General features: G+C 45.8%; 1 protein-coding gene across 1 annotated transcript in view; it reads left to right on the top strand.

The window, feature by feature from the left end:
• Nucleotides 1-14,171, top strand: part of MYO1E (myosin IE) — a 240,438-nt gene that overhangs the window by 214,248 nt on the left and 12,019 nt on the right. The window contains exons 25-26 of the mRNA NM_004998.4: nt 245-337; nt 4,833-5,034. Of these exons, the coding sequence (NP_004989.2) occupies nt 245-337; nt 4,833-5,034 (295 nt within the window). The remainder of the gene's footprint in view (nt 1-244; nt 338-4,832; nt 5,035-14,171) is intronic.

The following is a 14,171-nucleotide window of genomic DNA, read 5'->3' as shown; positions in this document are numbered from 1 at the left end:
AAGAACCACTGTCTCTAACATTTCAAAACTGTACCTCTATAACCCTGTCCTCCAGCCCCTCCCACCCAATAGCTACCATTACATACTTCCCTCAACGGCTCCTTCTCCACTGCAACTGTTCTCCTGCAGATCCACCTGAGAGCTGGAATCCAAGCTTCTCAAAAATTTTCCATATGCAAAGAACCATGAGGATCCATAAAACCAACCAGTAGCACTGGTTTTAACTTTGTCTTGTTTATTTCAGGTCCTACCAGAAGGAACACTACCCAAAATACAGGTTATTCCAGTGGGACTCAAAATGCCAACTACCCAGTGAGAGCTGCCCCTCCTCCCCCAGGTAAGCCAGCTACGTACCGTAGTCTGGGACCACTAAATCTGGACCCATAACTTATAAAATATGTTTGGGAAGAAACCCATTAGCAAATCAATGCACACATATTAACCAGGCATGGACCATTTCAGTGCCACATGTACAACACAGCAGCCCTACTTGAGACCTCAAAATTCAGAAAAATAGGAGTCAGTGAGACTGAACTGCGGCTGAGTTTGCAATCTGGATTTCATTACCTCGAAATATTACTCCCTTAGGAAAGGCTTCTGACAGAGAGAAAGGAGTTCCTTGTCCGTAACAACCAGACTGTTGTCAGCTTTTAAGACACAGGATGCTGCTTTATGGAAATAGGAGTTTACAGGTCTAACCCCACCACCACTACCCAGCTCCGGCCAAATACCACTACAGCAGCACCCCCTTATCCTCGGGGGATGCATTCCAAGACGCCCAGTGGGGGCTTGAAAATGCAGATATTACCAAAACCTATCTATACTTTTCCAGTTTGAGTTTTCCACAAAACCAGCAGAAATTTTTTTCTGTCTTCACAGTGTTACAGATAGAAGATATATTGTTACTGAATTTACTTAAAGGAAGCGCTTTCACTTAAAGGAAGCGCTTAATGGCTTCTCTTTGGCATACCCAAATTGCCAGCTTCCTGGGGCCATTATGAATAACAAGATGGCTGCTTAGTGACTGATGATGGGGTAGCACACACAGCATGGATAGGCTGGGCAAAGGGACGATTCGTGTCCTGGCGGGACAGGGTGAGATGGCACACAACCTAAGCCTTAGGAATTGTTCATTCCTGGAACTTTAATTTAATATTTCCAGGCCACAGTTGACCATGGGTAACTGAAACAGTGGAAAGCAAAATCATGGATAAGGAGGGGAGGGGGCTACTATTTTGTAAGTTATAGCAGCTTAATGACTGAATAGAAGAAATCTGTTTTCTATTTATTTTCTGAGATTAGGATTCAGGAGGCCTGTTCAAAAAAACAAAGTAATATCTGAGAGTATTACAAAATTGTTATAAAATTTATGCTCATATTTCATATTTATCTCTTCTTTTTTTGGGATGGGGTCTCAGTTGCCCAACTGGAGTGCAGTGGTGCCATCATAGCTCACTGCAGCCTCAGCCTCCCTGGATCAAGTGATCCTCCCACCTCAGCCCCTTGAGTAGCTGGGACTACAGGCACGCACCACCACACCTGGCTCTTTTTTTTTTTACTCTTTGTAGACACGGAGTCTCACTGTGTTGCCCAGGCTGGTCTTGAACTCCTAGGTTCAAGCAGTCATCCCACCTTGGCCTCCCAAAGTGTTGGGATTGAAAGTGTGAGCCACTGCACCTGGCCTCTCATTTTTAATAGTAAAAATATAACTGACATATCCAGACACTCTAAACCTGAATCTAAGATTTTCTGTCTCTAAAAATCTGTGTAGTGTTTGCAGAATGCTTGCAAAAATACATAAAATCTTTTAATGTTTTTCCATCACTCACAAAATTCAGTTCATAAAAAATTACTCCCAGAGTGTTTGGTATTAAGCAGTTTAGAATTCTAAGTCTGATAGGGTCATTTTGAGACTGTATTTGATTCCAGTCTTCCCAGCCAAGAGAATTCTATTTGTACCAATGTCCAAGATAAGGAGTAAAAAGCATTTCTTGAGGCTGGTCATGGTGGCTTACGCCTGTAATCCCAACACTTTGGGAGACCAAGGCAGGAGACTTGCTTGAGACCGGAAGTTAGAGCCCAGCCTGGGCAACACAGCAAAACCCCATCTCTACAAAAATGTTCTTAAAAATTAGCTGCAGCCAGGCGCAGTGGCTCATGCCTATAATCCCAGCACTTTGGGAGACCAAGACGAGCAGATCACTTGAGGCCAGGAGTTTGAGACCAGCCTAGCCAACATGACAAAACCCTGTCTCTACTAAAAATACAAAAATTAGCCAGGCATGGTGGTGCACACCTGTAATCCCAGCTACTGGGGAGGATGAGGCACGAGAATTGCTTGAACCCGGGAGGTGGAGATTGCAGTGAGCTGAGATCACACCACTGCACTCTAGCCTGGGTGACAGAGCAACACTCTGGCTCAAAAATAAATAAATAATAAAATAAATTAAAAAATAAAAATTAGCTGGACATGGTGGCACATGCCTGGAATCCCAGCTACTCAGGAGGCTGAAGTGGGAGGCTGAGGTGGCTATGATCATGCCACTGCACTCCAGCCTGAGTAACAGAGTGAGACCCTGTCTCAAGATTAGCTGGGCGTGGTGGCATGCACCAGTGATTCCAGCTACTCACAAGGCTGAGACATGAAGATTATTTGAGCCGGGGAGGCAGAGGTTGCTGTGATCTGAGATTGCACTACTGTACTCCAGCCTGGGTAACTGAGTGAGAGTCTGTCTCCCCTCCCCATCCACCCCCACCTTCCCCCCAGAAAAGGGCATTTCTTTAGTCTCTGGAATCTCACCATTGCATGCTAAAGTATGGACACTGGGGCCCAGCAGTGAGAAACTAATTCTCATCTCTTTTGGAGTCCCCATCCTGCCTTGACCCGGCTCTGTCTCCTCCTTTCTTCTTTGAAGAAAATCCAAGCACAAAGGAACTTAAGAGAAGCACTGTAGTATCATATTACTGCGTGTGCGCTGGTTCCAGTGGAGAATTCTGGCCAAGTCCACCTGGAAAGCTCACTGGCCTCAGCTAGGTTGGCCAAAGTAGCCTCAGATCAAATCAGGCCACAAAGTTTCCGACCTTGAGCAGGGCTCCCCAACTCTCTAAATGACAGTTCCTTCATCAAAAAAATGAGACAATGGGACCAGATCCATTTGACCAGCACTTCTCAAACTGTCTGTGGTGAAAGACCAGGAGTTTTCAGGGGGTTTTAAAAAATTTCCAGTCCGTCACAAACCATGTATTTGTATGTTACAATAAAAATGAATTAGTAGAAGAATGGAATTTTCAAAACATATAAAATATAAGCCAAAATGTCTTATTATAAGATGCAACAGGCATGAAATAGATCTGTCAAACTGCCATGAACGTTTCTAAATGCTTACTCTTCATTTCTGACCTTATCGTGGACAAGGGGATCTCGAGCAGCATGTGGAGCAGCCCCTGTGGGGACCCCACTTTTATCACTGGCCATGTGACATCCCGAGGGCATGTCACACTCCTAAGATGCCCCTCTCCTTTTGTTGGGACCCTAGGCAGCAAGCAGGGTCCTTCTACCCTCCCCATCCCCAGACCCTGTGGGAGCCCATTCAGCTCTCACTCACTGAGGGAATGAGGTAAGATGAAGAGCAGCTGTTTGCCCCAAATGTCTAGTTCTGATCTGGTCTGACGGCCTGTGGGAGGAAATTGCTAGAGACATGGCTGGATGAGGAGCCACCCTCTTGAAAGCTCCACCCTGATAAAACCGTGGTTCAAAGTAAGAATTCCACCTATTATTACTGGGCATGAAATATTTCTGCAATAATAAGGATATAGAGAAAATGCTTGTCGGAGCTGGAAGCCACCAAGCAGATTCTGGACCTATCTCGTGGTTCTTTCATGAAGAACTGAGACTATGAAAGATCAACTCTCTTGCTCATGATCAGTATAGCTCTCAGAGGCAGAGCCAGAACTGAACCCCTAATCCTTTCCTAAGGGTCATCCCACTGGTACCAAAGAGTTCTCTTAATTTGGTTGGAAGAGGTCTTTAGGTAGGGTTCACCAAAGTGGGCCTTGAAGAGTCTTGTTCTCTTTCTCCACTCAGCCCAGATCTGTCAGTGGGAGAATGAATAAGGGCCTCTTCATACGTAGCATGGAATGCTAATGCCCGAGTCTGCCAAGACGCATGGTTTGGAGCCTGCCACTGTAACCCATTACTTATTGGCTAATGCGATTTTAACTAGACATCGCTGTTTGGCTGAGAGAGCTTGCTCCATCCGGACTGATCCAACTGGGTGGCCACTTTTCCCTTGCCTGTGTAGAGCACCCCCTCTGCCTCACACAGCAGGCTCCTGCCGTGGATGCCCAAGATTGACCCCTCGAAAATGGATGTCCAGCTGTTTAAGCAGCTGCCTGTCAGCCCTCTTGAGTCATAATCTCATAATTTTTCTTAGGCCCAAGAAGGTGTCTCCCAGCCGGCTGTAAGCTTACCTTACTGTGGGCTTTGAACCCCAGGAAATCTGGGGATTCTATTGCCACCAAGCATGTGCTGAGTGTCCGCTGTGTTCCGGGCACATCCCGGGAAGTTGACCATGCATTGTTGTACATGTTAAATACATACAATTTTATTTGTCAGTTATACCTCAGTAAAGCCCGGTGATGGGGAAAACAGGGAATCAGCTCTAATTCTCACAATGTGTTAGCAGTGATGCCTTCCATTTTTTTCAAATGCGGAAATTGAGACTCAGAAGTTAAGTAAGCTGCCCTTGTAGTACATGGAAGAAATGTGGAGAGACTTTTGGCAAAGGATCCAAAAATCTGAGCCTTATTTCCTTCTCTGTTCCTCTCTCTAGGATACCATCAGAACGGAGTCATCAGAAACCAGTATGTGCCATATCCCCATGCTCCTGGAAGCCAGAGGTCCAATCAGAAAAGCCTGTACACCTCCATGGCCCGCCCGCCCTTGCCTCGGCAGCAGTCTACCAGTTCAGACCGAGTGTCACAGACGCCAGAGAGCCTGGATTTCCTCAAGGTCCCGGACCAGGGAGCTGCAGGGTAAGATTCTCACATCCTCTGGATGAAGCCGGCAAGCTCCATCTCCATCATTCAAAACAAGGGTTCAGAGATTCCTGTGGGCTGTCAATACACAGGATTCTAAGGTTTAGTTTTCCACCTCAGTGCTATATGCCAGGACCCAAGGCTGTGGGGCTGTGGCTGGTTATTTGTAAAGGTACAGTCACATTAATAGCACACAATTCATTTCATTCTCCAGAGAGGGCTTATCTTGGAAACATCAGAAGACGGGTTCCCCTTGGCCCCAGATATGGTTACTCTGTGACCTCTTTGTGCTTTCTTGCATGGTTGAGGAATAATGGATCTTTTGATTTGTGTCTGTGCCTGCAGTTGCATAAATACAACAGCTTTAAGAGTCTTCAGCAACATTAAGCATAACATCCCAGCATTCTATATGATATTTGTTGAAGAATATGGGTCTTTGTGGCTTTATAGTGAGAGCCTCTCTGCCTTTCTAGAATATAAATAAAGAGTGGTGAAGAGAACCCAGCCTTTTTAGCCGGAGGAAGTGAAGATTCCTGAAACTCTGTGTAGATATTAAAAGAGCTATCAGTTTTAAAAGGGGGTTAAGACATGTCCTGTGGAGTCGTAGGGATGGAACTAGCGCCAACTGAAAGCCAGTTGGTGAACTCTGCCAGGAGGTAGATTTTGGCTCCAGTAAAAGGAAGAACGTAGCAACCCAAATATGAGTTGCCCTCGTATGTAAACAGCATTTTGTTCCTGGGAGCATCCAGGCACCAGGTGGATGGGGATCACCAGGCAGGAGTGTTCAGAGTAGTGTTGTCAAATGGTAGATAAGGGGAAAGAGAGGCCTCTCTAACACTGGACCTGCTGTTTGCTCTCTCTGAGCTTCAGTTTCCTTGTCTAAGCACTAATGTAATGCCATCAAACTTGCAGCAAACTTGTTGGGAGGACTAGAAATTATATACATAAAATCTCTAGCATGGTACTTGGCATGCAGGCGTCTGCTCACTTAACTCTAGCTTGAGGGTGGTAATGACGGTGACAGGGTGATGATCATAAGGACCCCCGTCACTTCATGGAGGTTGAACTAGAGACTTGTAAGGAATCTTCCAGCTCTGCACGACTCTCCATGGTGGAGTGGCTCTGTCTGCTAAAGCTAGTAATGGCCTGCTCCCACCCACTCTCTCTTCTCTTCCCCTCTCTCAAGCCCACTTCCATTTTCCACTGTCTCCTGTCTCCAGCACCATGGAGAAGTTTCAAATGAGGATCAGGAGGTATGAATGCAAAATAGACCTGTGCAGGAAGAGAAACAACAGCTCCTTCCTCTGAGGGGGCAGCCATCCATCTACCTTTTTGTTTGTTGGTTGGTTGCTTTGTTTTTTGAGACAGGGTCTCGCTCTGTTGCCCAGGCTGCAATGCAGTGGTGCAGTCTCGGCTCACTGCAGCCTCCTCCCAGGTTCAAGTGATTCTCCTGCCTCAGCCTCCTGAGTAGCTGGGATTACAGGCACGCACCACCACACCCAGCTAATTTTTTTTTTTTTTAGACGGAGTCTCACTCGGTTGCCAGGCTGGAGTGCAGTGCCACAATCTCGGCTCACTGCAATCTCTGCCTCCCGGGTTCAAGCGATTCCCCTGCCTCAGCCTCCCGAGTAGCCAGGACTACAGGCGCCTGCCACCATGCCCGGCTAATTTGTGTGTGTGTGTGTGTGTGTGTGTGTATTTTTGTAGAGACAAGAGTTTCACTGTGTTGGCCAGGATGGTCTTGATCTCCTGACCTCGTGATCCACCCGCCTTGGCCTCCCAAAGTGCTGGAATTAAGATGTGAGCCACCGCACCCAGCCTAATTTTTTTACTTTTAGTAGAGACAGGGTTTCGCCATGTTGGCCAGGCTGGTCTCAAACTCCTGACCTCAAGTAATCCACCCGCCTTGGCCTCCCAAAGTGCTGGGATTACAGGCGTGAGCCACTGTGCCTGGCCTCATTCATCTTTATGCCCTATTATTTGATGTTTTTCCTGCCTTGGCAGCTTCCTTCTAAAGACCACAGAGCTCTTAAGAGCTTTACCATGTTCTCTCCTAGCAGCATTCCTTTTGCCCTGGCAAGTCTTATCTCACTTCATTTGGGCTACAAATATGAAAGCACCTTAGTTGGTTTTTTTGGGGGGGGTTTTTTGTTTGTTTGAGATGGAGTCTTGTTCTGTTGCCAGGCTGGAGTGCAGTGGTGCAATCTCAGCTCACTGCAACCTCCATGTCCTGGGTTCAAGTGACTGTCCTGCGTCAACCTCCTGAGTAGCTGGGACTACAGGTGCGTGCCACCACACCCAGCTAATTTTTTTGGTTTTTTTTTGTAGAGATGGGGTTTCACCATGTTGGCCAGGATGGTCTCGATCTCTTGACCTCGTCATCTGCCTGCCTTGTCCTCCCATAGTAGCTGGGATTACAGGCGTGAGCCACCGCGCCCAGCTGAAAGCACCTTAGTTTTATCACACAGACAGCCATCAGTAGAGTGGATGCCGCCCTTATGTAGACCTCTCTCTAAGTGCACGTGCGCGCGCGCGCGTGTGTGTGTGTGTGTGTGTGTGTGTGTGTGTGTGTGTGTCCCTCTCCTCTTCCCTTCCACTACCCCCCAGTCTTGGGTAAGTAGCTATATCCCACCAGCTCTCATGACCGTGGTTCACGTGATTGGCTTGGTCTAAACCAGTAGTTCTCAAACTCTAGTGTGCAGTAGAATCCGCTGGAAAGCTTGCTGGCCCACTTTCCGCGTTTCTGATTCTGTAGGTCTGGGGTAGGGCCTAAGAATTTGCATTTGTACCACGTTCCCAGGTGATGCTCTGATCCAGGGACCACATTTTGAAAACCACTGGTCTGAAGGCACCTGTAGTCTGATTGATAAAGCCAGGGAAGCCTCCATGTGAAGGTGAATTGCAAGGGTGCTGTTAGGTTTATGGGATTTTTGCTCTCTAACCCAGACCTACACCTTTCAGGTGGGTGAGCATCACTAAGTCACAATCCCACCTAGGCCCAGTTTGATGCCTCAAAGTAGGCAGGGTATTAAAAGCAGTCAACAGAATGCACCAAATCTCTTAGCTCTGTGTGCTAGCTGCCTACTTACTTTGGTTTTGGCAAGCAAAACCATCTTTCCAGCCTACTTTGCAAGTTGCAAACTTGCACATCAGCCAGCTGGGAGCATCTGTCAGCCAAAAGTAGGCAATTTAGGAACACTGTGTCTTAACCAAGGCTGCTCCCTTCCAGCCCTCTGCCATGTGGTTCCCTATTTAAGTCTTATGGCACCCTTTGCCACCCTCCAGCCTAAAGACTGGGTACACGTGGTGCTGTCTTGGAGGCAGGCCATGAGGCCGGAAGGAGAGGACACCTTCACACCTGTCTGCTAGGCATTAAGATTTCCTTGTATGTAAAACACAATTAGTAGGCACACTGTGTCTTAGCCAGCCTCCTCTTTGTAACCTTAAATCTGCTGTGCAAACATTCCTTACAAAATAGTACCTTGGGCAAAAGGCTCAGCCTTTTCTTAGTATTTATTTTCTAAAACATGTAAAGGTGAAAATTAAAAGTATCTAATGTGGCCAGAGACTTTGGATGTGGCATTTTATGGATCCCCATGGTTACCTAAATTTAACAGCTTCTCCTATTTGCCAAGAAAACATGAATTGCATTTATTCCACAGGAGGCTGTTGAAGCATGCAGGGAATTTTAGGATCCCAAGTTTGTACTTTTTCCATAAACATGAAAATTCCTATACATCAAAGTTCTAAACAGTCACCTTGACTTTACCAATCTATAAAAGTAGGATTACTATGGTCTTTCTTTCCTGGCTTTCACATTCTGAGTTTATCTTTCCTTCCTCTCTCTCATCCCTCAGTGCACTTTTTCTGTAATTTATTTTGGATCATGTAATATGGATAAAATCAAATGATGTAATTAGCACCTCAAGTTAATTCAGGCAAGTCTTTATCAGTTTATTTTAGGTTCAATCAGTTGTTCTGAAGAGAGCATGAAGATTTCACTAAATTAATTACCATCCCAACTGGATTCTTTACCCTTTCATTGCAGTATTGGTGCACATGGTAGCTATCATTATCATTCTCCAGGAAACACTGAGAGATCTGCGTGGGAATCAGGATCTTGCCATCGATTAGCATAGCTTTTGAGAAGTCTTAATTCAGGTCAAAGATCTTTCCTGTTTCTCAAGGAAAGGGAAGAGGTTAGGCAAGAATCCTATTAACAGTTCATCCAGGCCGGGCGCGGTGGCTCACGCCTGTAATCCCAGCACTTTGGGAGGCCGAGGTGGGTGGATCACGAGGTCAGGAGATCAAGACCATCCTGATTAACACGGTGAAACCCCGTCTCCACTAAAAACACAAACAATTAGCTGGGTATGGTGGTGGGTGCCTGTAGTCCCAGCTAATCAGGAGGCTGAGGCGGGAGAATGGCGTGAACCCAGGAGGCAGAGCTTGCAGTGAGCTGAGATTGGGCCACTGCACTCCAGCCTGGGCGACAGAGCAAGACTCTGTCTCAAAAAAAAAAAAAAAAAAAAAACAAAAAAAAAAAAACAGTTCATCCACCCACCTTTGCTCTGATCTCACTATCCAGTGTGCTTTGTAATTTTCCCTCCTATAACTGAAATGTACCTAATCTACCTGCAGTTCATTCTTGGAAGCATTAAAACCCAGACTGGAAATGTCTGTTGACCTTTTTAATCCTGTGGTCCATTTTGTGGGAGGATAACTTCAGGAAATTTCAAGATACTCCAGAGATTAATCCAACTAGAAGTTGGAAAAACAGAAAAGTCTTGGAAGTGCTCAGTGGTAGGGCTTCTGGGCATGCCACAAAGGAGGGGTCAATAGAAATATTTAAATGCTGCCTGTGTGTCTCTTGTCAAGATCCTCCCAATGGAGTCATATTTTTATGGGGCTTAAAATTTCCATCAAGTGTCCAATAGCAATATTTCTCAACCCATAATCTATGGGAGCAGCAGCCATATCCTGGCCCAGGCAGACATGGTGCTGAGGAATTCCTGGCATCCATTTCCACATTTCCAGTAATGTTTATAGATTCAACCTTTTGGAACACAGCATATTTTTAAGAGCCAGTGAAATAAAATGCCATTATTTTCCTTCTTGGAATTTCAAGACATAAATTTCCCATCTGCAGAACAAAGAGGTGATATTCGAAAGCTTAATCCTAGCTCCCCCGACATAGACTAGGCACACCCACCCAGGAGGTGTGGGAGCTACAGAGAAATTCACAAAAGGTGGCATTTAGAGTGCAGAGAGCACAGGATTTGCATCTGTAAGAGTAGGGTGAGTCCTGGTTCATTCATTCTTTCCTTTTTCTTTTATTCATCAATATTTACTGAGCCATGTGCCTTCTATGTGCTACCCCAGGCTTGTCACTTAATCTTTCTACTCTTGGTGTCTTCACCTGTATAATAGGGATACTAATATAATAATTTTGAAAACCCACTCCTCAGGGTTTTCTTGAAGGTTAAATAAGGGCTTTGTGTGCTATAAAGCACAATGCTATTTGAAAGTTATTTTGTATTTGATTCATTACCATTATTCATTGGCTGGTCTTGCAAGGAAATTTTAATGCTCTACCAGGGTTGAAAGGTGATGTTTCCTGGCCCAGTGGCTTTATTCTCAAGAACTCAAATCTCTGGCCTGCCTAGAGCTGTGGACTCCATGAAGGTCTACGCTTCAGGCATTGTTGGCTGTAATGCGGGGAATGGGCAGCCTAGGGAAGCCAAGACAAGGAGACCAGACAGGGAGACGCCCGCCCCCAACACACACACACCCTTGGCAGCTGTGCCTGTTCTCCGTGGGCACAGAGCATCAGTGGCACACAGAGTTCTGCAGTAATGGTAATAATCACTAGACATGAGAGCCTCATTTGGACAATTTGAAGATGAAAAGTCACAAACTCCTTCTGGCTCTGCACCGTTCCACAGTCTCTTCCTTTCTTTTTTTTGTATTGTTTTTTTTTTTTTTTTTTTGAGACAGAGTCTCACTCTGTCACCCAGGCTGGAGTGCAATGGCGCGATCCTGGCTCACTGCAGCTCAACCTCTGCCTCCCACGTTCAAGCGATTCTCATGCCTCAACCTCGCAAGCAGCTGAGATTACACGCATGAGCCACCACACCTGGCTAATTTTTAGTAGGGACGGGGTTTCGCCATGTTGGCCAGGCTGGTCTCGAACTCCTGGCCTCAAGTGATCCGCCCACCTCAGCCTCCCAAACTGCTGGGATTACAGGCATGAGTCACTGCACCTGGCCTCCACGGTCTCTTTCTAACTAAACATCTGAGCTGCAGTCATCATAACAATGAACAGCCCATGGAAAGGATGGACATTGCTAGGGCAGAGGGAATTAGCCCTCAGTTTAGAGAGTTTTCATGTCATTTGGGGTTTTGTTTTCTTGTGGGCTTTTGGCACCTTGTGAGATTCGGCAGCCATCCATGAGGACTCAAATGTCAGCTGACATCCAAATGTCTCGGGGCAAGTATATCACTTGGTCTTCTCTGGTCACTAATATAGGACTTCTCTTGCAGAGCAAGTTTTCACAAAGCAAACTGGATGTAGTGTACTTAATTCATCAGGAAATGTTATTTGTTTCTGGGTTATAATGTGATTGCCCTACTCAGAAAAAAGAACCTGGTGCAAAAAGAAGTTGCTGTGGGTCAGCTTTTTCGTGCATTTATGTTAATTGGTAATAGACACATAAAGTGATGTGTACAAATTACCCTAAAATAAGAAAACTAAATTGGATTGTACAGAAATTACATATAATGAAACACTGGATTTGCTCAGTGATGTATAGTTTTATAACCATATATTAACATATGTATATTACATATATAAATAATATATACAATATAAGTAATATATATTATATATATAATGAGCCTTTATTATTGAAATGTCAAAAGAAAAAATAAGTTATTGTGAGTCTGAAATCTTGCTGCAACTCCCCATCATCTAGCCAAGCACAGTGGCTCATGCCGTTAATCCCAGCAGTTCTGGAGGCCGAGGCAGGAGGATCACTTGAGATCAGGAGTTCGAGACCAGGCTGACCAACATGTGAAACCCTGTCTCTACTAAAAATACAAAAATTAGTCGGGCGTGGTGGCAGGTGCCTATAATCCCAGCTACTTGGGAGACTCAGGCATGAGAATCACTTGAATCTGGGAGGCGGAGGCTGCAGCGAGCCAAGATCATTCCACTGCACTCCGGCCAAGTGACAGAGCAAGGATCTGTCTCAAACAAAACAAAACAAAACAAAAAACAACCATTATCTCAATGAAATAATTATTTTTATAACACGATTTTCAATTCTGTGATGTTTATTAGAAATACAAATACTGTATCACAGAGTACCAGACCTACCAAAATTATCTAAGTTGTACAATTATAAAACAAATGGTGGCACATGGCTGTAGTCCCAGCACTCAGATAGCTAAAGCAGGAGGATGGCCCAAGTCCAGGGGTTCAAGACTGCAGTGAGGTATGATCATATCATTGTACCCCAGCCTGGGCATCATAGCAAGACCTTGTCTCTAAAAATAATAACAATAAGGAAATAATGAAACAAAAGTTGGCAAGGCATTTTTAGACATGAGTGAGCCTGTGCTGTCGTGAGGGCAGCTTGAGGATGGTAGGATGGTAGGATGGTAGTGTGCTGGTAAACAGTGGGCACTCCAGGGAGGAAAAGGCCTGAACTGTAACATTTACCAGTTTCCATGGTAAAATTCTCTCTTCATGGCCAATTTCAAGCTACCAGTGTGACTACTACTGAGTGCGGAGTTGGGAAAACATGGGCAGTCTCACCATTGTATAGTATTTCTACCATACATCAGCAATAGACTTTAATAACTTCAAATGCATAGATAGAGGAAAATAAGTAGGCTGGGCACAGTGGCTCACGACTGTAATCCCAGCACTTTGGGAGGCCAAGGCGGGTGGATCACTTGAGGCCAGGAGTTCGAGACCAGCCTGGGCAACAGGGTGAAACCCCATCTCTACTAAAAATACAAAAGAAAAATTAGCCGGGCTTGTTGGCACATGCTTGTAATCCCAGCTACTCGGGAGGCTGAGGCAGGAGAAACGCTTGAACCCGGGAGGCGGAGGTTGCAGTGAGAAGTAGGAAGAGATAAATGATGAGCATTTATTGCTTTTGTTTTAATGTAATTTCTTTGTTGTCAATGATTTGGTTTTTAATAATGGCCATGTTTGACAACTGGCTCACAAAATTCCTGAAAGTTCTATCAGCTCTCGCAAGCTGGACTAAGCCTGTTCTGGCACAGTGGGCATGCGGGTCTCATGTGCCCTGTAAGGGGGTGTGTAATCCCTTCCTCCTGGACTAGCCAATTGCCTCGGCTGGGAGTAGGGGGCTCCACCTGCCTAGAAGACCTCATTAATCAAATTTCTGGCAGTTTCTTTGAAAGTCATTCCTGGCCGGATGCGGTGGCTCACGCCTGTAATCCCAGCACTTTGGGAAGCTGAGGCAGGTGGATCAGTTGAGGTCAGGAGTTCAAGACCAGCCTGACCAACATGGAGAAACCCCATCTCTACTAAAAATACAAGATTAGCCGGGCATGGTGGTGCATGCCTGTAGTCCCAACTACTTAGGAGGCTGAGGCAGGAGAATCGCTTGAACCCAGGAGGTGGAGGTTGCGGTGAGCCGAGATCGTACCATTGCACTCCAGCCTGGGCAACAAGAGTGAAACTCCGTCTCAAAACAAAACAAAAAGTCATTCTTTCTTCTCATTAATGACACAGGATTGCCACCTAGTGACGCAGAGGAGATTGCCTGGGTTTTCGAGGCTGTTGGAGTCTGGGAAAATGGCTGTTCCCACCAACTGTGTTCCAAGGTGGCTTCCAGGTCTCCAGTCTGGTGAATCGTAGAGATTGTGACGGCTTCGTTGACACAGATTTCCTGTGTTCCTCAGTGCTGTTGAGAGCTCTCTGTAAAACTTTCCTAGAATCAGAAAAAAGACCTGGAACCCGGTGCGGTGGCTTACACCTGTAATCCCAGCACTTTGGGAGGCCAAGGTGGGAGGATCGCTTAAGCCCAGGAGTTCAAGACCAGCCTGGGCAACATGGCAAAACTTCATCTCTAAAAATAAAGAGGCCGGGCGCATTG

Source organism: Homo sapiens, chromosome 15, assembly GCF_000001405.40.
Source record: "Homo sapiens chromosome 15, GRCh38.p14 Primary Assembly".
Taxonomy (NCBI): Eukaryota; Metazoa; Chordata; class Mammalia; order Primates; family Hominidae; genus Homo; species Homo sapiens.
The sequence above is the reverse complement of the archived record's forward strand: the minus strand, read 5'-3'. Positions and strand labels throughout refer to the sequence as shown.